Genomic DNA, 23,109 nt, shown 5'->3' with positions numbered 1-23,109 from the left:
ACATCTTCCCTAAATCCAAAATCTAATCATTTTCCCATTTTTGAAAATCCAAAAGGCATGTGTACCCTCTGGCCTGCTTTCCTCTCCCCTCCTGAAGATTTCATTTTCAGTAAGACTTTGGAGGCATGACGTTCAGATTTTAGACCTCAGTGCAGATTGGAGCCCCGAATTAGTGTAATACACCTGGGTGAACTCTGCCACACCTGCCCCTTTCCTGACCTCACCACGGCTTCCCAGGATGTATCTGGTTCACCCTAGCCTCCCTTGAGGTGATTTTGGGTCTGCAGGGCCAACTCCTATCCTGAGACCCAAACAAAGAAACCCAGATTCAGCAGGTGGGTCAGAACTAAGCGACATTCAGGGGATGGCCCTTGAAATAAGCTGGCTTCTCAGGCAGGGTCACTGTATTACATTGTACAGTTTGTGTACTGCACAAAGGTCCCCAGCCAAAACACAGAATAGGCTACTGGCAGCTCTGTTCTCAGGGCAAAGGAGAAAGAGATTATGTCTCTGATCCAGAAGAAAAGAGAAGGTGACACAGGACAGATAGAGGTCAAAAGGGTTTCTTGGGAGCACACTGGATCAGCCTAAGACTGGACCAAGCCAGTGTTGACCCAGCATGTTGGCGCGGTAGGCCTATATACACTCTCTTTGTTTTGTTACCTCTCATCTGCAGGCACTGGTTCGTAAGTTATTGGGTCCCTCCTAGGCCTTATTTGGAGTGTGGGTGGGAGAAGGACAGGAGTGTCACCCTACTTATGTGTCTTGTTTAGCCAGCAAGATGGGATTTGTTTCTTGGGCAGAGGGAGTTTCTTTGGTTTATGAATATGAAGATTTTAAGGCATATTGTTCACTGCAGACCGTTATGTACTTGATGTAGGTGTTTGAGTGCAAGACCCTAACAGGGCTAGGCGCGGTGGCTCATGCCTGTAATCCCAGCACTTTGGGAGGCCGAGGCGGGCGGATCACGAGGTCAGGAGATCCAGACCATCCAGGCTAACACGGTGAAACCCCATCTCTACTAAAAATACAAAAAATTAGCTGGGCGTGATGGCGGGCGCCTGTAGTCCCAGCTACCCGGGAGGCTGGGGCAGGAGAATGGCGTGAACCCAGGAGGCGGAGCTTGCAGTGAGCCCAGATTGCACCACTGCACTCTCCAGCCTGGGCTACAGAGCGAGACTCAGTCTCAAAAAAAAAAAAAAAAAAAAAAAGGGGAGAATCGGCCTGGTTTCTGGCTCACACCTGTAATCCCAGCACTTTGGGAGGCCGAGGCGGGCGGATCACGAGGTCAGGGGTTTGAGACTAGCCTGACCAACGTGGTGAAACCCCTTCTCTACTAAAAATACAAAAATTAGCCGGGCATGGTGGCGCTAATCCCAGCTACTCAGGAGGCTGAGGCAGGAGAATCGCTTGAACCTGGCAGGCGGAGGTTGCAGTGAGCCAAGATCGCGCCACTTCACTCCAGCCTGGGCGACAGAGTGAGACGACGTCTCAAAAAAACCCAAAAAACAAAAAAAAACCCCAAAAAACAAAAAAACAAAAATTAGCCGGGCATGGTGGCATGAACCTGTAGTCCCAGCTACTCTGGAGGCTGAGGTGGGAGAATCGCTCCAGCCCGAGAGCCAGAGGTCAAGGCTGCAGTGAGCCCAGATCGCACCACTGCACTTCGACCTGGGCAACAGAGACAGACCCTGTCTCAAAAAATATGTAAATAAATAAAAATTAAAAAAAAAAAATAAAAAAGGCCGAGTTCGGTGACTCACGCCTGTAATCCCAACACTTTAGGAGGCCGAGGTGGGCAGATTGCCTGAGCTCAGGAGTTCGCGACCAGCCTGGGCAACATGGTGAAACCCCGTCTCTACTAAAATACAAAAAAAAAAAAAAAAATTAGCCGGGCGTGGCGGAGTGTGCCTGTAGTCCCAGCTACTGAGGAGGCTGAGGCAGGAGAATTGTTTGAACCTGGGAGGTGGAGGTTGCAGTAAGCCGAGATTGTGCCACTGCACTCCAGCCTGGGCGAGAGAGCGAGACACCATCTAAAAAAAAAAAAAAAAAAAAAAAGTAGAGGATCATCTGAAGAAAGAAATTCCAATCAAAATTAAACAACTCCAAAAAGGAACTTTTCTAGTGTCAGTAATGGGCTGGTTGAGGAGGTCTTTGGGAGCCTTCTTTTTATTGATTGACTGATTTTTTTTTTTTTTTTTTGAGACAGGGTCTCGCTCTGTCGCGCCGCTGCACTCCAGCCCAGCCTGGGTGACAGAGTGAGACTACATCTCAAAGAAAAAAAAGAAAAAGTAATCCGGCCGGGCGTGGTGGCTCATGCCTGTAATCCCAGCACTCTGGGAGGCCGAGGCGGGTGGATCACGAGGTCAGGAGATGGAGACCATCCTGGCTAACACAGTGAAACCCTGTCTCTACTAAAAAAAAAATACACAAAATTAGCCGGGTGTAGTGGCGGGCGCCTGTAGTCCCAGCTACTCGAGAGGCTGAGGCAGGAGAATGGCGTGAATCCGGGAGGCGGAGCTTGCAGTGAGCCGAGATCGCGCCACTGCGCTCCAGCACTCCAGCCTGGGCGACAGAGCCAGACTCCGTCTCAAAAAAAAAAAAAAGTAATCCATGTCAACCATCTGATGGTGGAGGGGGATTTCAGATCTCTGTACCATACTTTCCCTTCTCCATTCTTACCATAGCACTAGAGCACAATGCCTTACTAAATTCATATCCAGTGTTTACTTTGTAACCACATATATATCATTCATTGCTGAGCCAAATGAGCTTCAGTGATTGCAGTTCCTTTCTTGTAAGATTTTTTTTTCCTGGAGTTAATAATTGCCTCATTTTTATATTTGCCTAATTTTCTTTGACCTATGACTACTTTTCCCATACTTTCCAACCTCTGTACAATTAATCTGAGGACAATTTTCTGCATGTCCAAATCTTGAAGACCATCTGCAAATGGGCTGATCTTTTTTTGCTTTGTGTTTCTTTTTTTAATCCCTATTTTCTTTAAATCTGAAAACTTTTTCAAAAAGTTTCCAATCTTCCATTTAGTTTTATTTTCTAAAACTTTTGGCCGGGCGCGGTGGCTCACGCCTGTAATCCCAGCAATTTGGGAGGCCGAGGCGGGTGGATCACGAGGTCAGGAGATCGAGACCATCCTGGCTAACACGGTGAAACCCCGTCTCTACTAAAAATACAAAAAAAAAATTAGCCGGGCGCGTTGGCAGGCGCCTGTAGTCCCAGCTACTCGGGAGGCCGAGGCAGGAAAATGGCGTGAACCTGGGAGCCAGAGCTTGCAGTGAGCGGAGATCGCGCCAGTGCACTCCAACCTGGACGACAGAGCGAGACTCTGTCTCAAAAAACAAAAAACAAACAAAAAAAACACTTTTATGAAATGCGGTGGGAGTTTTTACTGATTTCAAATGGGGTATTGTGTTTTGGTGGGAAATTGTGTCTGTCCCACCCAGCTAATGTCAAGAGCTGAGAAATTAATCCAGAGTTTCTGATATTTGATATTTTGCTTGGTTGAAATAAACTTTCATCATTTTTCCTAAACAACAACTTTTCAGAAGTAATGACTGTTAGCCCCGGGAACCGTGGAAATATTCAGTATTAGTAAATCTTTACCCTCCCCTCCCCCCCGAACTGATTCTACATTTTTAGAAATAAAGATTATTTTTAAAATAATTGGCCTTTACCCAGGCCATTTACTGCAAGATTCATGCCCTTTATTTACGTTCACCTCACGGTGCCTTTTATTTGTGTTCAGTCATTTACAAGTCTGCCTTTCCAACTAGATTGTAAATTACTTGAGGGGGCCAAAGGTGTCTTTTAAAAATTCACTTCTGTACTTTTGGATCCCCCTAGGTCCTAACACAGCGCCTCGCCCTTAGCAAGCGCTCCATAAATGCATGTTAAATTCAAAAAGTGGACAAATAAAGTTCCAGTGTTCTCCAATCAGGAGCCCTAAACCGTGGTAACTCTCAAATCCTCTCTGGCCTCAACAGCGCCCTGTGAACGGTGGGTAGGCCTCGCCCCCCACCCCCAGCTGCCTCGGCAGGTTGCCTCTGGGGACAGAGTTCTGGGGTGCGCGGGAGAAGCGATAACACGTTGACCATCGCGGGAGTCCGGGAACCAGAGGTCGTTTCTCAGGATTAAAATCCGCTCCAGCGTTTCGAGGAGGGGCGACACTACAGGCCACGCTTTCACCAGGGACGGCCGCCCCATCGTCCCCGACCTGGGTCAGCGTGGCCCGCAGCGGGGAGGGGGGCCTCGGGAGGGAGCGCCCCCCGGCAGCCCGGGAACGCCCGCGCGGCAGCCCCGGCCCAGCCTGCGGCTCCGCGGTCCTACCGCCGGGGGCAGCGCCGCCTGCGCAGCCGGGCCAAGATGGCGGCCGGTGCGCAGCCGCCCGCGTCCGGGGGAGAAGCGGCGACAGCCCCGTGTCAGCCGGGGCGCGCGCTGTCCCAGGGCGCGAAGCCGCTCCTCCTTTACCCACGGGGACCCCGAGGGCCAGTCCTGCCACTTCGTCCTGACAGGCCCCCTGCCCGGAGCCCTACCTGGACGGGCCCCGGCTGGGATCGGGACGGCCAGGAGGATGGCCGCCTGGCTAGACATGGTGGACAGGGGACCAGCGGGGACCACTGGGTGCCAGCCCCACACCCAAGCCATTTCTTCCAGCCCTGGGACACCTCTGGTGCGCAATTCGACATTAGTAACCGCAGGTAGGGCTTCATGCCCCGTAAAAACACAGGGCTCAAAGCACTTGAAATCAGGAATGTCTTGGAAAATCTGCTACTTCTGGTTGTGAAATCCACGGTATTCTCTAGTAAAGGCAGTAAAGGCTACAGAATATGTGCGGTTCCTCACATTTGCTGTGACATCGGTATGCGCGCAGTGTAGGCTGCCTGCCTCCTAGGACACTCCAAAACCTGAGGTCCAATTTACCAGAAATGGCATTGATGAATGCGGTGCATTCTGAGTGATCTCCCGCTGGGCTCAGGTTGGGAGGTCAGAAGGGCCCCCAAAGGGAGCAGCTAATGCAGGTAGAATCACAATGGTAGAAACAGAGAAGTACCCAGAAACGGTTCCCCATTACCCTTTGTAAACTGGGTTGACACCTCCCACTGGTTCAAGGTTCCAACCAAAGTTTGCATGTTGTTTATCAGCTCAGCTTGAGAGGCAGAATGTGAACTTTTTGGTTTTGTTTTGGTGAAATAGTCTTTCTGCATAACATTTGCACCGGCTTGTTATTCTTATGGAAAACACTTCCTCCACCTACCCTGGGCAGCAGCCACACCAGCCTTTACTTCCTTCTGCAGGCCCTCTTAATTACCTCTCTCTTGCTCCAGTTTAGGCAGCCCCCGGCACTTTGTTCAAGTACAGCAATAAACCCAAGACTGGGCCTAATCCTCTGTGGTCCTGACCTTCCCCACAGCGGGCCTGGAGTCTGGAGGGCCTGGAGTCTGGAGGGCCTTCCTGCTCCCCTGATTAGGGCCAAGGACGCAGCTTGATGTGTTTTGTGTTTTCTCCCCTCTGCACACTTGGTACTTTTCAGAGTGCTTCACTAAAAAATCAGATACAAGAAAAAGTTCACATCAGCCCTTTGGAGCCAGGCCTCCGTGAGCTGGGGTCACCCCACCACCAAGCCAACCATTCGACTTCTAAACTGTAGCCAGGGCCAATGGGTTACCGCTGACCTTTTGCACACCGAATTCCTCTCCTAGCGTTAGCTCGGGTGGCCAGGGAGCCTCAGCTGCACCCACCTCCTGCCCGGTCCAGTCCCGATGCCCCTCGCGGGAAGCGCGGTAACCTTAAACGGCACGACAGGCGGCTGGCCGAGCTGGTTCGGTGACGACTCCCTGGAGACAGCGGCTTCGAGCAGCAGGCCCCATCTGCAGCGCAGCTGAACGAGTTAAGCTGCCCCAGGCGTGAGCGTACCAGGCTGGGGCCTGGACAGGAGAGAACCGGCGGGGGGCCCCGGGGCGCCTAAGCCCTAGGATTTCCAAGTTGCAGGGGGAAAGGTGAACCTGACTCCCCTCCCGAAGGGCTGCGTGGGGGGCTCAGAAGACTCCTGTCAGGGGTTGGGGAGGCGCCTCGAAGCGGGGCCCAGAGTGAGGCTGCTGAAAGGGGGCCTGGGGGGTAGGCGGTGCGCCCTCGAGGCCACCTGGTCAGTAAAGGCGCTTCTGTGCTGTACAAGCAAGACAGCAGTTGTAGCACCCGACCCTCGGGCTCCAGTGGCCCACGGTGCAGGCGGGCAGGGGAAGAGTGGCTCTGCGCGCAGCCCCGGGTGCCCTAAGGTCACCTCCTCATCCCCTGCCGCTGCTGTGCCGCCCCAGCCCTACCCCCGCCCCGAAAAAACCCGGCCGCGCGGGCCAGAGCCTAAGCTGCACGGGCTCCTGACCCCGGCTCGCCAGGCTCAGCCCAGTCCGACCCCGCCTCGGCTTCACAAAGGCCACGTGCGGCCAGGGCCGACAAGGAACGACCACGACTCTCAGATCTTTAATTACGCTAGGAGTCCCTACCCTTCCCCCCAACCCATCGCCGGCTTCCAGCCCTTTAATCAATTTCACGATATTAAATATTAATTTCCTGCCAGCCACGGTTTCTCGGAGGAGGGGGAGGGGATGGGCAGGGCAGCTCCGAGGCTGGAATGGCTTTGCAGGGTGTGACCACGACAGCAGGGCGCGGAGGACGCGCGGATTCCTAAGTGAGCTGTGCCCAGAACTCGGAGCCACTGGGTTTTCGCTCTGTAGCTGGGGAACTTGGAGAGTTATGAGCGCCTGGGTGCAGGCCTCCAGGAGGGGCAGCGAGGTGCGCGGAGAGTCCGGGTGTGCTGGGCGACCGCCTCCTGCTCCGCGCGCCCCCCCTCCCCACCCCAGCCGCGAGTCAGCCTCACGCGGGCCCGCGGCGCGCTGCGATGATGGATCGCGCCTGGCGGGGGTGATTTGGTGTTGATCGCACATTATCACTGGCAGGTTGGACTGGTTGCTGATGGACGACTTCTAGCGGCGGCGGCAGCAGCGTCTTCAGACACCGCGCTGGGACTCGCTCGCTCGGCGAGGGTCTTTCCCCCCCCCACACCCCCTCCCTACTTCCAGGCGCCAGGAGGGCCTGAGAGTCCGAGTGGGGTCTCCTCGCGTCCAAGGCCGCCCGCTCCCGTCTGGGTCCGGGTGTGGGCTGTTGGCTGGGTGAGGAGAGGAGCCAGGACGCCTCTCCCACTTCCTCCCACTCCTCCTTCCCTTGCCGCCTGCTCCCCACCCCCTTCCTGCTTCCCCACCGAAACCCGGAGGCCCTGGGTCACTCCGCGGGTGATATCCACGCCGCCTGACCCTGGCCGCGGGGGTGCGGACTCCTCTGCTCCGCAGCCCCCGACCCTCTCCCCCGGTCGCAGCAGCCGCGGCACTGCGGTGCGCCCCTTCTCGCCTCTTTTTCTAAAGTGCCTGCAGATACAAAAGCGGTTTCGTAATGCCTTCCGTCTGCGAGAGCCGGAGGACCTTGGCTGACCTTTCGGAAACTGATTGCAACTGCCTGTTAACAGCCCGTACTGACCGCACTGAGCGGAGCGGAGGACAATCATTTAAGTGACAGACGGCGAGGTGGCCCCGGCTCAGTCGAGCGGCCTGGTTAAGCCCGCCCCGCCCCTCCCCCGACCCCCTCCCCTCCCGCAGCTACTCCCCCAGCCCCGGGCGCACTGCGGGCCGCGGCGGGCGCTCGGGCAGGCGGAGAGGACGCGCGCGCGCGTGCGTGTGTGTGTGTGCGCGCGTGTCCACGATTACCGGCCGACGGGTTAACCCTTTGCCGAGCAGCCGGTCCCTTTGAGGCCGGGTGCTGCCGGATTAATCTGCCATCTGCAAAAGAGGAATAACAGGGCCGTCTCCGCCGACTTTCCCTAATGGGTAAACTGTACCCTGTTAGCGTGACCCACGCTGCGTCCCTGCTGCTGCCAGGGAAAGATCCGGACCCTTGGCTCTTCTGCCGCGGCCCTGGGTCCCCTCCCTGCACTGCCCTTCCTCTGCACAGACACAGACACAAGGAACAGCACGAGGGGTCCAAAGGCTCCCAGGGGCTCGCGGTGCAGTGGACGTGGGTGTTCCCGGTGTTTTCTATTTTGGAAACTGGAGAAAGGTGGGGTGGGGGGGACGTAGAGAAAAGCCGAGGTGGGGGAGGGGAGGCTGGTGACAGGGCACCTCGGGCTTCGCTCGCTCCCTCTCTCGGGAGAGATCGCCAGCTGCTCTCCAACAGGCAGCGCCCTGAAATCTATTTAAAGAGAGGGAAAGGGGAGGAGAACAAAGGGGGAGGAGGGGGACGGCGAGCGGAGCCTGGGCGAGAGCGAGCGAGCAGGGAGGATCCGCCGCTCCGCGGGCACATCAAGCGCTCACATCTGTACACTCCGCGATCGATGGGGAGAATGGATAATATTTGTCAGCTGCAGACCTTTCTCTTCCCGGTTCCTGGGGAGGGGAGGGGGCGAGGAGGGGGAGGGGCGGGCAGGCCAGGCGAGAGAGGCCGCCTCAAGGACAGCGCGCTTCCCGCTGCAGCCACACGGAAACCCAGAGCCATGAAAGCCGGGGGATTTTTCTCTTATTATCATTATTAATTATTTTTTATTATTCCAGAGCAGCCAGCGAACGCTCGGTGGCGCCCCTCCCCCGCCGCCTCCCTTTGTTGATTCTCAGCTGCTAGAGCGGCGGGCCCGAGCCGCCACCGCCGCAGAGCACGATCTGCTCTTGCGCCCTCGGTCGCAGCTGCGGCCCAGGAAGCCGGGGCTGCGTCCCCGCCCCCTGCCCCCCACGGCGCGGCAGCCCTCGCACCCCCTCCTCGCCTCCCGCCACGAGGCCAGCCCTGCCTCTCCACTGCCTCTCGCTGCGGCTCCGAGTCCCCAACGCAGAGCAGAGGCACTGGCTGCTGCGGCCCCGAGCCTCCGGCCGCGCGGGGGCCTTTGCCACCCCCTAACCCCCGCGGCTGCACTCTGATGCCGCCGTCCTCACACATGGTCTTCATTTTGCACACTAGCGGCGTGCTTCCTCTCAGCTCCTCTCCTCGGGGCTTTTCGGAGCGAGGAGGGAGGTTTAGAGGAAGTTAGAAACCCAGCGAGCCCAGGGGAAAGGGGGAAAACCCTCGCTCTTAGTCTCAGCTTCCGAGGCAGAGGGAGCGCCCCGCGGGGGGTGGGGCAGAGTCTGGGTGCCCTCCCCTTCCTTGGATGCAGGAAAGGTTAAGTGAGGGGTGGCGGTCGGAGGAGCGACAGATTTGCTTTTGCTCATCCACATGCCTGCTCAGACCGGCCTGGGTATCACTGACCCGGCACTCTCGGAACGGCAGAACCCGGATGGGAGCAGATCCGCCAAGCGGTCATCAAACAAGACCAAAGACATTTCAGCTGTCCCCCACCCTCGGGCCTTGGGCGAGGGTGGGGGTGCCCCCTGGGTCTTTGCTTCCTCGCGCACCCCAAGGTTGGAAGGCCAAAGCCGACGCCTCACAGACCGGGGGTCCGGGCCCCCTCTCTAGGGCGGAGGTGTGCAGAAAGCTCTAGTGCGAGTTTACTTGCGGCCTGGCTACCCCCTCCCCCCGCCGCTGTCCTGCGATTCCGGGCCAGCCTGCGGCGGCGTCCCCGACTGCTCCGCGGTCCTGGGCAGGGCAGGAAGCTGGCACGGCCGACGGCTGGGCAGGCGCCACTTGGCCGGGCAGGCTGCTCGCTGGAACTCGCGCGGCACCTTCGCGCCGAATCGGGTTCCTGGGTCTCCAGCCCGGTCACCCTGAGCGGTTTCACCCCCCACTTTGACCATCGGCCTCCCGCGGAAGTCTCCCTGTCTCCTCCCGCCCTCTCGGCTTTTCCCTTCCTCATTCTGTCTCGGGAGCTCCTTAATGCAGTCAACCGCCTTTCCCGAGATTCAAAAAGAAGTTTTGTGTTTCCCCGGGGGCAGCCGCCTAATGCTTCCCTTGTTTTCCGGAACAAAGCAGACATTCAGTGAGGAGGGGGCAGGCGCTGACTCCCTCCCCTCCCCGCAGCACCCCGCACTCCTGCAGATTCAGAACGCTGGCTCCGGGGCCCGGGTGGCCTGGGGGTGGGGTGGGGACCCCCTTCCCCTAGGCTTGGCCACAAAAGCCTCGCCCGGTAGCCGGAGAGAAAGCGGCGTGGTGTTTGGGTGAGGTTCCCAGCCCGGGCGGGGAGGGCGTGCACGCGGCTGTTTACAGTGTGCCTGTGCTGCTGGAAGCTCACCCGCCGCCGCTTGACAGCGTGGGGCACCCGCTGGCTGCCAGCTCAGAGGAGATGCGCAGCGGCGAGCCCTCCAGCACTCCACCCGAGGCCTCCGCAGCGCCAGGGCCAGGGCGCGCTGGGAAGCTCCAGGTCTCCAACCCCGAGTTCCTTCGGCCCACATACCCCTCCCCGTAACAATGGCCTAGATCCGGTAGTATATCAAAGGGACGGGGTGGGGAGGGGTGAAGAGCGCACAAGGGGCGCTCAGGGCTGTCGAAGCGCCTGGGTTCTGAGCATATCCCCGCCGCCGCCTGTCCCCTTGCAGGACTAAATTCCCCGGCCCGAGTGAGCGAAAGACAAATACTCTAGTGACTTGGAGGTGTTTCTCTCTCCGGATACCCCCCTGCAACCCCACCAACCCCTACCCACCGTGCCCAGTGAACTTCTCTCCACCCCACCCCGTGGGGACCGCTGCACTAGCTGTGCCCACGAGCGCCAGGCCTTCTCGTCGGCGCAGCGCTGCCTTAGATCCCGCTCCACCTCTTCCCCTCTCCTGGGCCTGTGGCCGGCCCCTGGCGCCTCCAGCGCGGCCTGAAACTTGATCTCACGTCGAAAGGACAGTGTGTAAACACCAGGCGCGCTCCGAGAACCCACGGGAGGGGCCGAGCGAGGGCCGCCGGGGCAGCTCGAGGCCCCGCGCCCCCGCCTGCCTGCTCGCCCGGGACACGATCGGCGGGGCCGCCGTCTCGCTCTCTGCCTCCCCAGTTGGCTCAGCTAATTGGAGCCGCCGCCGCCGCCACCGCTGCGGCCTCTTGTTGAATTTTCTAGATCGCAACCGTTCAGTCGTGGCTGCCTGTCGCTCCCCTCCCCCTTCCACAGCTGTTACCTCTGCCGGCAACTTGGTGGTGGTGGGGACCCGTCCCCCCGCTGACCCTGGCCTCAGGCTCCGAGTTCACCCCAGCAGTTCCAGGGGGTGTTTTTCTTCGAGACGTGGGAAGGGAGGTAAAGCCTTATCGGAACTGTGAGGCTTCGTGCCAGAATCCAAGGCTCGGGTACTAGCCAGAGGATCCTCCCGGCAGAAGGCCATGGTCCTCCCTGTCTTACACCAGGAGGTAGTGACAGTCCCGGAGGGAGGGGCTCCAGGAACAACTCTGCTGGCGACTTCTGTTCATTCCAGGAAAACATTACAGAAGGGTGAGGTGATGGGAGGCAGAAAGATCCCCCCTCCCTCCTGCTTGCCCCAATCCCTGTCAGCACTTGGGCATTTGGGACTTGGTGTGTAGGTTCCTTCTGCAGCAGAGCTCACCTGCGCCTTGGGCCTAATCCACCCACATGCCACAAGGATGCTTTTCCTCTTGGTTTGGAGTACCTGGTGGGTCCAGGGGGGAAGTGCCACCCTTAGTGGGTTCTGGAGGTACAACTCCCCCATGCTGGGTCAGTTCTATGCTTGTACCAGGAGGCCCTCCTGGGCCTTGGTCCTTCCCAGCCATCCCCAGCCTTAGCCTCCTTTCCCCTTGGCCAGCTGTCTCATGCCTTAACCACACATCTGTGCTAGCTGCAAAAGGTCCCGCCTGTATGGATCTGTAAGAGGCCCAGAGCTCGGCCCCATGGTTGAGGTGGGAAGATGTGAAGCAGTTTGCTAGTGCAGGAATCATGAAGATATTGTTGATGATGGCAGAGCAGTTCCTGGTCTCCAGCATTGCCTTAGAATGGCTTTTCCTCGTGGTAGAACTTTCGCTAGTGGGTTTCACAGGCTCAGGGCCCAATCTTGTGAAAGTAGCTACACTCCCCAGCCCGGAAACACATAAATACACATAGGCAAACTCCCAGGAGGCTGGGTGTAGGAACCACCACCGGGGGGATCTGCAGCAGCCAGAGAATGTCTGCTTTTCCTGTGATGGTTCTGAGAAGGGCGCCTGTTCCCTCCCTTTGATGGTTCTCTGACAACTGTTAGGTAACAAAGAGTGGAGGCCACAGGCTCATTAACTGTCATTTTCCACCTCTTTCCTCCGCTTCTAACTTTTACCCAAATTACTACTTTGGAGTTTTCCTGAGGTGTTCTCTCCATCTATTTATAACTAGAGCAAGATTTCCAACTCAATCCTTATTGATTTAAACTATGATAAAAATGAATCCATAAAATTATTATTATAATTTGGTGTCTAAGATGACATTTCACTAGGTCAAGTTCACACAGTTTTTGGCATCTAAAATCCCCCAGGCCTTTCCAATCAGATAACCTAAGTGTGTTTCCCACTGTCAGTTTCTCTTCCCTTTCCGTAGTGGAAAAAAACTGAATCCTCTCAAAGATGTTTATTCTCCTTCACTCCTACCCCATCAGTCTGTGAGAACCTTGTTTCTGTTTAGGGTAAGGTATATTTCTATGTTTTGATAAAGAAGAGAGTAATACATGTTCCTCTTCAGGCCTGAAAAGATAATTATGCATCCTGGGAGCTTGCTCTTCTCCTGGCTGTTTAACGGACAATCTGGATTCTGGCTCTGGAGCAGGAATGCTTCGATGTCCCAGTCTCCTTCTCGTCCCCTTTCCTCTGTCACCACTCAGCCATCACCAGGCCTTTAGGCGGGTCACACGGCCTGAGGATTTCTGTTCTGAAGGCTCAGAGTGCCTCAGAAGATTGCAGCTCAGAGCCTGGTATCATGCATTCACATTTCTTTTACTGTGCAAAGCATATTCGGAGCCATTGGGATTCCTGTTCCATCTCTCTGAAAGCTTATGCCAAGAGCTCCCCATGGGGCCTATGGTGATGGATGTCATGAGGCCCAGGAAGGAGCCATCATGGTGGGAAGAGTTGAGAGCCTGCATGTAAGACTCAGACTCGAACCAAACCTAAGTGCAAATAACAAGGAAAAAAAGCAACTCCGCGCACCTGGCTGGTACCCTGCTTGGAAACAAACCGTACCTCCCCACCCTCCCATCTCAAAGCTAGTAGAGCCTAGGGGCACACCATTCCTTTGGCTTCCCTTTAGCTTGACCTGGGAATGGCGCAGTTAAGCATATCAGGAAGCTGAGATGCATCCACTACTCCTCACTTCCCCTGGCGCTGGGCTCAGCTTGGCTGAACTTGCCGTTCCTGTCTTTTTAGAAGAGCTGGTTGTGTTCCCGAAGCAGGATCGCACTGTGCCGCCTCCCCAGGGGTCCCCAGCTATTGATTTTTAATATCCGTATTCAATATTGTGTATTAAACATTGAATCCATGCACAAGAGGATGTGATGCAAATCACCAGCCGTGCCTGAGACTTTAATAGTTGTTTTATTGCCCGGAAACCACAGTTGGACGCAAGGCATCCTGCAGCCGAGGCTGGGGGTGGGGATGACAGGCTGAGAAGAGAGCTGAGCGGAGCGGAGCAGAGCAGAGGATACGAGATCTCTGAAATCCGCACTACTGAAGGCACAGCCAGGCACTAACAGCTCCCCCCAGGCAGGCTGGTGGGGGGCCGGCTCCAGGCTGTTGTGGAAAGAGCAGGGGCTGTTGTGTGAGACCCGGGCAGAGGAAGAGGTGTGGGGCTGTGTTCTTCCTTCCTGGACTTCCCTAACTGGACTGTGCATTCCTGTCCGGCAGTCCTTCCCCTCCATGCAGATGCTCACCCAGAAACACATACACAACGATGGAACAGGAAAGTTAACTTTGGGGCAGGAAACCCCAGGCCTCGGGCCTCTTCCACCACTCTTCGCGCTGTGACCTTAGCACAGACCTCTCTCAACCCGCTGGGCCCCATTTCCCTCCTTTGCCAATGGGGGTGATGCTATCTGTCCTACTTCCCTCACAGCGCTGGTGGTGAGGCTGCCGCGGCACATGAGATAATATTCGGGGAAAAGGCTTTTGTAAATTGTCAGGCCCCACGTAGGCAGGCTGAGGGATTAGTGCTGGCTTTCCCTTTATACTCCCTCTCTCCTGCAGGCTGTGTCTCCTGGCTGCCTTCTTTCTCAGACATGGGCCTCCTCCCCCATGAAGGGCCCTCTCTTCTGTTTCCTCGGCCACCTCTGCTTGATCTCTCAGGCTTCCTGCTCTGCCTGGACTCTGCATTCAGGCTAGGCAATCCGGTTTGGAGGAGGCCCAGCAGGGAGAAAGGAAGGGTGAGAACGACTGAGTGTGTGGTGGGGGTGAGTGCAGCAAGTGTGTTTAAAGCCAACAGCCTCGGGAGGGAGGAGAAGCACACTCGGTAGCTGCGGCCCTGGGTTGCGGAGCCCGCGGGGGTGGGGCCGTGGGTGGGGGGCGTTGATCCGCCCCGTGTGCGGACAAGCGGGAGAAGGGTTGAGGGAAACCTGAGTCTAGGAGTGTCTTCACGTTACACTGTTGCTGGTTATGGGAAGTCCAGCTTGAATCCCGATTGCTGGAAGGCTAGGGTGTGGGCAGTGCCTTCAGGGTATTGCAATTGCGAAGGCCAAATGGAAATGCGGTGGAAAGTGGCAGCCCTCCAGCGCCGCCAAGTCAGATAAAAAGTTGCCCGAGGCCCTGAGAGTGGAGGCACCAGCTCTCTGATGGCCTTGTAGACGCCCTGAGAACAGTCCGAGCTCCTCAAACCCGCTACCTTTGTCCTGGGCTCAAGGAGGGGGCGGAAACCAGAGGGGCCCGGATTCTTGAAGACCTCCCCTGGGGACCCCACTGTCTGCTGGGAAGGCCTCAGCCAACTGTAGGCCCAAGCCCTACAGAGACCAGCTCTGGCAGGAAGTCATGCCAAGAGTCTGTGTCCGCGTCCTTAGGCGTGAGAATGGGGCTATGCCAGGCTGGGCCTGGCTGCGCACGCCTCCGCTTCGGGACTCGGGCGGCTGCTGCTGCCTTCGTTTTCGGGTCTTCGACCGAGCCTCCCTGGCTCTCTACTCCCGCTTTGTCTTGCTGTCAGCTTCTCGCCTGTCCTCGCCAGTCTCCTAGGTCGGCGGGTCGCGCTCTGCCTCTCCGAGTGCGTCTTTGCGCACATGTGGCGGTCTTCCTGCAACCTGGGTCAGCTCGGCCTCTTCCCGCGGGGTACTTGGCTTTGCCTTTGGATCGCTGCGAGTGTCCACTTCTTGCGCTCTCCTTCTCCCCACCTCGCCTTAGGCAGACGCATCCCGGGCTTGGCGGTCCCCCAAACAGAAATATCCCCGGGTTTCTGGTTTAGCTCCACCAAAACAAACTCGAGGGATTGGGGTATCCTTCACTTGCGTTTCCCGCTTCTCTCAGCCCTAGGCCGAAACTGGAGGGTTTTTTTGTTTTGTTTTGTTTTAATGAGACCTACTTTGCAGAGTTGACGGGGAACATTTCTGCGGCAGACTTCGAGGTCTGTGGCGCTCTCCCAACTTTCAAGACTGTAAGCCGCCAAGAAAGAGAATTTGGGTACATGATTTTGCCGCTGATGTGGGCTGGGACGAGGGTATCCAGAGTGCACGTGCATGTGCGGATCGCAGGGACTCTCGGTGGATTAGCCGCCAAAAGCTGGGGAGCGCCGCGTATGGACGCTAGGGCTGGGGGCCAGCGGGGACCTACAAACACCCCAGGCGGCCGAGCAGGTGAAGGAAACGTTCCGAGCCCGCCCCCTCCTCCCGGGCCCGCACGCCGCCGGCCTTTGCGGCGGAAACACGGTCCAACTCCTTGAAAGTAAACTTGCCGCCAGGGGCTAGGGGCGCGAAGAAAGGAGGGGGCTGACAGCGGTGTCTGCGTCGGGGAGGCCAGGAAGGCTTGTGTCAAATTTCAGCCCCCAATGACACTCGGTGGCGAGGTGCCAAGGCCCTGGGAACGGCGGCGGGGGTTCTGGGTGAGAGTGATCGCGCCGCAGGGCCCAGCTTGCGAACCCCGAGGCGCCCGCAGGGCCTAGGGAGGCCACGGGGGCGGGCGCGGCGGGCGGGGAGGGGGCGCTCCTAGAGCCTCCTGAGCGGAGCGGACGCAGGCATCTTCCGCAATCCATTCATGCACTGAAGCGCGTGCAGAGCTGCTGATCGCTGCCATTGTTACTCGCGGGCGGTGTGGGAGCTGAGCCTCCACTCTGGCGAGAGATAAATGGCCTCTGACAGCCCCTCCTCGCCAAGAGAGCTCCTCGGATTTCACCGCGCGGCGGCTCTCAGGTCTGTGCCTCGCTCGCTTCCCGGTGAGAACCTTTAAATCAGCCTCTCGGCCCTCCCTCCTCCCGGACACTGTCCCCCGCCCGCTCAGGCCCCGGCAGGGCCCCGGGCGCGCTGTGTGCAGTCTCGGGGTCCTCTCCCCACCTGGGGGTTAAACAGAGTGGGGGCGCAGGGAGGACCTCAGGGCCGTGGGGGGAGGCACCGGGCTCCCCAGCCCCGGCTCCGCGCCTCCGCGGGAGCGGAGCCCCGCGCCCCGCCTCCGCGCCCACGAGATGGATCAGGCTACCGTGCGGAGAGCGGGCTGTAAATATTTAAAAAGTCTCTCGCGCGCCGGCAGTAATGGCTTTCGCAGTCGGAATGTGTGCTAGGGGAAGAGGAAGGGCGACGTGTACTGTGTTGCAGGGTGGGGAATTGTTCCTACGCTTCCCCTTAGGTCCGGGGTGGGCTGCATGTTCAGGCTTCCCGATTTCCCGCCCTCCGCCTCTCCGCCGCCGCGTCCCACGATAGCATCGAGAACGCCAGTCGACAGGGAACTTGAGCATAGCCGGGCAACAGAGGCCCGGTCGAGGTGACCCCGGAGCCACCCTCCCCACCGGGGTCTCCCAAGCTCGTGGGTTGCGAATGGTCCCAGACCCCTAATCCGGGTCCGCTTCTCGCTGCTGCACAGGGGAGGGCGGGAAACGCACAGATTGGAGCCCCCTGAGTTTGGGTGGTCGCAAAAGCCTGGGCCGGGGTTTCTGCAGAGGGGGCCTGGACCCTGTTTGTGCCTTTGCTACCCTCCCCAGCCGCTCTTAAACCTTGATCCGCTCTCCAGGAGACCCCCACCCCTATCTGAATCTGAAAGTAGCTTTGTGGCTGCTGGGACCGAAACCTGGGAGGAGGCAGCACGGAGAGTTTGGGGCGGGGAGGGGGTAGCCTCCAGGCTTAGTGGAGGTCACACGTGGACCTGAACGGGGACTCTTTTGCCTTTCTGGTGAGTGTGGGCCTGGGATCTTTAAGGCCAAGCCCTGCCGGATGGTAGAGGTGGGGGAGGGGGATTCAGCCTTCTCGGCTTGGCTGGGAGAGACTTAATGGGCCCACCACAGGGTGTGTGTCGGGTGAGGTTGTCCCCTTTGCCAGCGGCCACTCCCTAGCGGGGCGGAGGGGCTGAGTTGCCCAGAGCTGGGGCGGGCCGGGCGCCGCGGGTTCGCGCGGAAGGTTCCAGGGGTGTGGGCCCAGTCCGGAGCTGTTCGCCTGCGCCCCGCCGGCTCTGGGACCTGCCAAAGTGTGGGTGCTGGCGGCGTGTCAGGACGCGCCAGGCTGCTCTCCGCGTTCGAGCGCTGGGAGCTCCCGACTCCTGGCAGCTCCGTGCAGTCCTCTTCCAGGGGCTTGTGTTGCGCCCTTCTCGCTTGTTTGTCTCGTGTGAGCCTCGTAAACCGCCTTGATTTATTACCCAGACTAAATGCTTAATTTGTGAATATGAAACAGATTAAAAGGGGCGGGGGGAGGGGGGTTGAGGTCGGCATATTTTAGCAATCAGACCAAAGCAGCTCGGCAGATGTTTCAAATTTGTCGACATTTTCAGGCTCATGTGGAAAGCCAGCCAGAGTGGTCAAGAGGTCCTTTCTCCTTCCTTCAACCTGAGAACTTGGCAGTGATCAAAAGGAGGTGATTAGTAGCTACAGAGAAAAAACACCAGCAGGCAAGGAGTTAACAGAGACTGAGCCGTTCACCTCCAGGATTGGGATTTGGCGGGGAGGGGGGGCGGTCACAAAGGCAAGAGGAATCCTGGCTAAACAGGCGCAAGTCGTGGAAGCCAACTCTGAAGAACAAAGTGGAGGGTCCGTTAAAAGTTAATTCAGTAAATAAACTTCATTGGTGATAAAACAAATAAGAAAGATGGAAACTCCAACTTAAAATAGCCAAAAGATAAGAAAAATAAATCGCTTTTATGTGGCCTGAACATGTGCATGTGTCTTTGGTCAGGTCCCCGCAATGATCCACCTAACAAAGGCCTCTCCTGAGTACCCTCTCCCTTTGAATACCCCACATGTATAGCCAGTGTTTTTTGGCGTTTGTCATTTTGGGGCAACTTCACACATCAAAGGCGAGCACCGTTTTCTTTTCAGCTCCCTGGTTCCAGCCACCCAGTGAAGCAGATACAATTTCTATAAATTGGCCTTCTTCTCCAGGTTTCGATTGATCATCACCATATGAGATTACTGAAAGTCTAATGTCTTATTTCACTTTCTCCAAGGAGTGAGGAGGGGAACAGTTTATTGAAAGTCAGGCCACGTGAAGACTCTGGTGTTGTGCAATAGTAATTTCCATTAGCCTGGATTTATCAGCCTCCTGATACTGCCACCTGATACTGCAGTCTCCTGCAGGTTCCTTGTACCACCTTCCCTCTTCCCCTCCAGGTCTCAGCATCTGTCCCCATGAACAGGTAGAGTTCAAACCGGAGCCTTCCTATTGGTAAGGAGAAAATGGCTGATGACCAAAAATTAGGAAACAAAAGATTTGTTGTTGTTTCTCAGGACGGAGTCTTGCTCTTTTGCCCAGGCTGGAGTGCAATGGCCCGATCTCGACTCACTGCAACCTCTGCCTCCTGGGTTCAAGCGATTCTCCTGTGTCAGCCTCCCGAGTAGCTGGGATTACCAGGCACGCGCCACCAGGCCCGGCTAATTTTTTGTATTTTTAGTAGAGACGGGGTTTCACCACATTGGCCAGGCTGGTCTCAAACTCCTGACCTCGTGATCCACCCGCCTCGGCCTCCCAAAGTGCTGGGATTACCGGCGTGAGCCACCACGCCTGGCCAAAAGATTTGTTTTTTAACATATTTGTTATAACTTAAGAATCCCCTCTTTGGCTTTTGTTTCCTACTCCAAAGTTTTTTGTTCCCCTTTGGCCTTGATACCATCTTTCGTTTTATTAAAGTTGATTATGGTTCCTCTGTCTTGTCCCTAGCCAGACAAAGGCTTAGGAGAAGTCAAAGGACGTGTTAATTATGTTTCTTGTAAACTGACTTTTCATTTCCCCCTAACACATTTAGTTGGCTTGGTGTTTAGTTTAACAATCAATTGCTACAAATATGCTGCTTAAAAATGCTGCTTTTATTAAAACAAATAAATGAATTCAAAGACCTTTCTAATTTCAACTCGTGTGGGCTAGAAACAGAAGAGAAAATCGAAAGCAAGAGAGAGGGAAAGGCGGCAGGGAGGGGAGAGAAAGGAGACCAGGAAACACACACAGACACACACACACACACACAGACACACAGCATTCCTGCTGCCATCCCTCCGGAAGCCATGTTAAACTGGTCCATACAATTGTCCCTGGCTGCCCCCTGCAGCTCGCCAGTCCTTCTGGATTTTCCATCACTTGGCGCCTAAGGCGATCATTAGCTGAGAATGGACAACCTCCTCTACCTGCCGGCAGCTCAGCTCGTCATTTACCAGCCAGGGGAGGCTGGCCCCATTTGCTCAACCCGAGAGGGGTCCTTGGTTTTTGCCCCTGGGTGCATTGGTGCCTAATTAAACTCTATCCAGGGCAACGTGCACTAAATATACGTAGGCTGAGAGGAAGCTGGGAGGAAAAAGCAGTCATTACCTAGGAAGAGAAAGTGAATCTTCCGAGAGAGAGGAGGAAGGACCCCTGCGATGGTGCTTTCTGTTTACCCTCAGCAGAGCCTTGGAGTGCATGTTCACTTGGGTGCTGAAATCAAGGAGAAATGGAAATCGGGAAAAAAATCCATAGCCCACACATACCTGAACAGGGCCTATGTCACCACAGAGCAGGAGGGAGGTCTGCTGTAGCTCCAGACAGTGTTGGCTGCAGAAAAATGACTCAGGTGCCCTTGTGGCATCGGAGTTATTGCTCATGTGCCACGGCCCCCTCACGCACAGGAGCTGGAGCTGTATAAATGGCCGTGGGGACAGAAAGGAACAGATGTGTCAAGAGTCCAAGGACTAGGTGTGTGTTGTAAAGCCAAACAGATGGTGGAGGAGCAGGGGAGAACCTTCAGCTGAAGGCTAAAGACCCTACTAGCACCTGGGCCCAGGCAGGATCGAAGTGACCCAACCTGAAGCTAAAATGACAGCCGGCAAACAAGAATGTATGCAGATGTCATACAAGAGCCACCAGGGCTTTAATTGAGCTCTGTTTAACCCAGTGGAGGAAATCAGTTGAGAGGGTGAAAACACTAGCTCAGGGTGACATGTTTGTGGCAAAAGAGACCAGAACCCAGAGCTCCCAGCTTCAGAAAACAGCCAGAGGAGGAAAGTGACTGCTGGTTAGAGAAAGATCCAGAGTGCTCTTGGTCACTGAAGAGGCCTGGTATTTTAGTCATTTGGCATTTATTAAGCACTTGCTGTGTGCAAAGCACTATGCTGGCATCAAAGGGGGCTACCAGCACTATGAGCCCTCAAAGGACTGAGCAGGGAAGACTCTCCCCTTTATATGTGCCTGGTGACAAAGGCCATGAAAGACAGTGGGTGAAGGGGCTGGGGAATGGGAGGAGGAAGCCAACCACTCTGGGTTCCACTCTTGAAGATAGCAGTTTACAGGTGGGCATCGAGGCCAGAGGGCAACCTGTAGCAATGGACCCCTCTATGGCCTCCCTGAGCCAAACCCTACCTGGCTAAGCACCTGCGCCTGTAAGATTGTCCTCCCAGTGGTGGGAGTGCGAGAGAGGCCATCTTCACTTCCCCTTCCTTGGAGGGCCTGACTTTGTTGCCCTAGGCAGGCCAGGAAACTTATTCTAATGCCAACGAAGGAGGCAACTTTTCTAGCTAGAAAAGCACACGCTACAGCTCTCTCTCTTGCCCTGAACAAGCAGAAGAGCACAGCTTATCCCCAAAAGCTCCTGGACAAATGTAGGCTCTCTGGGGGAGCTGGTAAGGGAATACTGCCTCCCTTAACAAAACAAACCTGAGAATCTCCAAGGTTTAGCACTGCACACGGAGTCTCCCAGCAGAGAAGGGGGCTAGCTTAAGTGCCCCATGCATTCCACCTGCCCCTTGGGGCGCTCTCAGTGTGATCACAGGTGCCCTTCCTCAAGCCATCTGGCCTGGGCCCAGCCTCTGCTCTTGGTTTCCCTAAGCAGAGGCGAAACACGCTGGAACCTTCAAAGCACATTCCTAAACACTAAGAGAGAGCTGTGGGGAAGTGAAAACAAAGAGGCCAAGGAGCGCTGGAGCAGTTCAGCTTCCAGAGTCTGTGGGCCAACAGGGCTGGCTCAAGTTCAGTCAGACTTACTGGCCCTGGGCCAACCAGAGCTGGCAGCGTGCCCTCTTCAGCCCACTGCTCAGGCCCCGTCGCCCCCCAAAAACCTGGGCACACCCCAGAGCAAGCCCAAGCCCCAGGAAGCCCTGCTGCCCCTTGGCAGCCCTCTCAGACCACCCCCTCCCCCTTCTAGTTGTGGGTTGCTAGTTCCAGAGCCAGGGAATGGCTTCCAAAATCCCTTCACCCAGAGCTTCCCAAGAGTGAGTGGGTTGCCAATGGGTCAAGACGGGGATCCCCCAGCCCCTCAGAGTGAACCAGGGGTGACCCAATTCCTTGGCTGGCAGCTTCAGGCCATGTTGGGCAATTGTGGACACTCGGTCACTGTTTAACTTTGTGCAACAGAAAAATATCACATTCTGTGCTGAGAATCACTGCTCACTTGTCATAAGTGTGGCATCCATGCTCCAAGAGTTACCCACACATACGAATAGGAAGGATATTGGACCACATGGTCCTTCGTGGATGGTGAACACAGCATAGTCAGTGATTCAACTAGCATTCGTTCAAGCCTCTCTTGTCTGTCCTGCACTGTGCTTGTGGCTGTTGGGGTGGCTCGGGGAAACCCCCGGTTAACAAGACCCAGGCCCCTCCTTAGAGAACATAAAGTCTCCCCAAGAGAGATAAGCCCCATGGAGCTGAAAACTTCATTGTGCTTACACTAAAACCAGGAGAAAGAGCAATCCCTGGTATTACTCCTCAGGCATAGTTTTTTGGTTTTTTTGTTTGTTTGTTTGTTTGTTTTAAATGGGGTCTCCATCTATCTCTTGCTGAGGCTGTAGTGCAGTGAGGTGATCACAGCTCACTGCATCCTCGACCTCCCAGGCTCAAGTGCTTCTCCTGCCTCAGCCTCCCGAGTAGGTGGGACTACAGGCATGTGCCACCACAGCTGGATCATTTTTCTTTTTTTTTTTTTTGTAGAGACTGGGTCTCACCATGTTGCCCAGGCTGGTCTCGAACTCCTGGGCTCAAGTGATCCTCCCGCCTCGGCCTCCCAAAGTGCTGGGATTACAGCCGTGAGCCACTGCACCCCGCTTAGGTATATATATATTTTTTAAGCCAAAGGTCTGATGGTGTGTTTCTGCCCACTTTACACATAAAGCTGGGAAACTAAAGACTCCCTCATACTCCCAGCAGCTGACCTGCTGAATGGGACTTGGGAGCTGGGAATTCCGTGCTTTCTCTCCAAAGGGTCCGCCCAGGTGACATCAAGTTCATGGCAGATGTTATGGGTAACACCTGCACTTGGCAGAAAATTCTAAGGCTATAAAAGGATGTTTGGTGCCTCTCCCACCCGCATTTCTCAGTCACTCAGTTTGCCTCTCTGAAGGCAACCAGTGCTCCCAGTTTATTGCTTACTCTTCCCAAGATAGTCTATTAAGGCTGATTTTTTTTTTTTTTTTGAGACAGTCTCGCTCTGTCACCCAGGCTGGAGCGCAGTGGCACGATCTTGGCTCACCGCAATCTCTGCCTACCTGGTTCAAGCGATTCTCCTGCCTCAGCCTTCCGAGTAGCTGGGATTACAGGCGTGTGCCACGACGCTGGGCTAATTTTTTGTATTTTTAGTAGAGACAGGGTTTCACCGTGTTAGCTAGGATGGTCT

The 23,109-nt window shown here is 56.1% G+C and overlaps 1 protein-coding gene across 16 annotated transcripts in view, besides 7 other annotated features; it reads left to right on the top strand.

The window, feature by feature from the left end:
* Positions 1-23,109, top strand: part of BCOR (BCL6 corepressor) — a 126,032-nt gene that overhangs the window by 14,560 nt on the left and 88,363 nt on the right. For 4 of the 16 annotated variants that reach the window (XM_047442219.1, XM_047442201.1, XM_011543930.2 and 1 more), the window contains exon 1: positions 16,085-16,250. The exons of 8 other annotated variants lie outside the window; for them this stretch is intronic. The gene's annotated coding sequence lies outside the window, so the exon portion shown is untranslated. Of the gene's footprint in view, positions 1-16,084; positions 16,274-23,109 lie in introns of those variants that run through there. 4 more of the 16 variants (XM_047442221.1, XM_047442208.1, XM_047442211.1 and 1 more) reach the window with 1 other exon arrangement.
* Positions 4,177-4,446: a silencer, noted in NCBI's record as "silent region_20756". NCBI's record gives its function as "represses an Ori minimal core promoter by ATAC-STARR-seq in GM12878 lymphoblastoid cells {active_cell/tissue: GM12878}" and the evidence as "EXISTENCE:reporter gene assay evidence [ECO:0000049][PMID:35858748]".
* Positions 4,457-4,506: a silencer, noted in NCBI's record as "silent region_20755". NCBI's record gives its function as "represses an Ori minimal core promoter by ATAC-STARR-seq in GM12878 lymphoblastoid cells {active_cell/tissue: GM12878}" and the evidence as "EXISTENCE:reporter gene assay evidence [ECO:0000049][PMID:35858748]".
* Positions 4,625-5,364: an enhancer, noted in NCBI's record as "OCT4-NANOG-H3K27ac hESC enhancer chrX:40016607-40017346 (GRCh37/hg19 assembly coordinates)". NCBI's record gives its function as "activates a minimal SCP1, AML or CMV promoter by ChIP-STARR-seq in naive and primed H9 embryonic stem cells {active_cell/tissue: H9 hESC(naive and primed)}" and the evidence as "EXISTENCE:reporter gene assay evidence [ECO:0000049][PMID:30033119]".
* Positions 5,365-6,104: an enhancer, noted in NCBI's record as "OCT4-NANOG-H3K27ac-H3K4me1 hESC enhancer chrX:40015867-40016606 (GRCh37/hg19 assembly coordinates)". NCBI's record gives its function as "activates a minimal SCP1, AML or CMV promoter by ChIP-STARR-seq in naive H9 embryonic stem cells {active_cell/tissue: H9 hESC(naive)}" and the evidence as "EXISTENCE:reporter gene assay evidence [ECO:0000049][PMID:30033119]".
* Positions 8,883-8,932: a silencer, noted in NCBI's record as "silent region_20754". NCBI's record gives its function as "represses an Ori minimal core promoter by ATAC-STARR-seq in GM12878 lymphoblastoid cells {active_cell/tissue: GM12878}" and the evidence as "EXISTENCE:reporter gene assay evidence [ECO:0000049][PMID:35858748]".
* Positions 13,653-14,196: an enhancer, noted in NCBI's record as "H3K4me1 hESC enhancer chrX:40007775-40008318 (GRCh37/hg19 assembly coordinates)". NCBI's record gives its function as "activates a minimal SCP1, AML or CMV promoter by ChIP-STARR-seq in naive H9 embryonic stem cells {active_cell/tissue: H9 hESC(naive)}" and the evidence as "EXISTENCE:reporter gene assay evidence [ECO:0000049][PMID:30033119]".
* Positions 21,556-22,080: an enhancer, noted in NCBI's record as "H3K4me1 hESC enhancer chrX:39999891-40000415 (GRCh37/hg19 assembly coordinates)". NCBI's record gives its function as "activates a minimal SCP1, AML or CMV promoter by ChIP-STARR-seq in naive H9 embryonic stem cells {active_cell/tissue: H9 hESC(naive)}" and the evidence as "EXISTENCE:reporter gene assay evidence [ECO:0000049][PMID:30033119]".

Source organism: Homo sapiens, chromosome X, assembly GCF_000001405.40.
Source record: "Homo sapiens chromosome X, GRCh38.p14 Primary Assembly".
NCBI lineage: Eukaryota > Metazoa > Chordata > Mammalia > Primates > Hominidae > Homo > Homo sapiens.
Note: the sequence above shows the minus strand (reverse complement) of the source record. Positions and strands in the feature narration are given on the sequence as shown.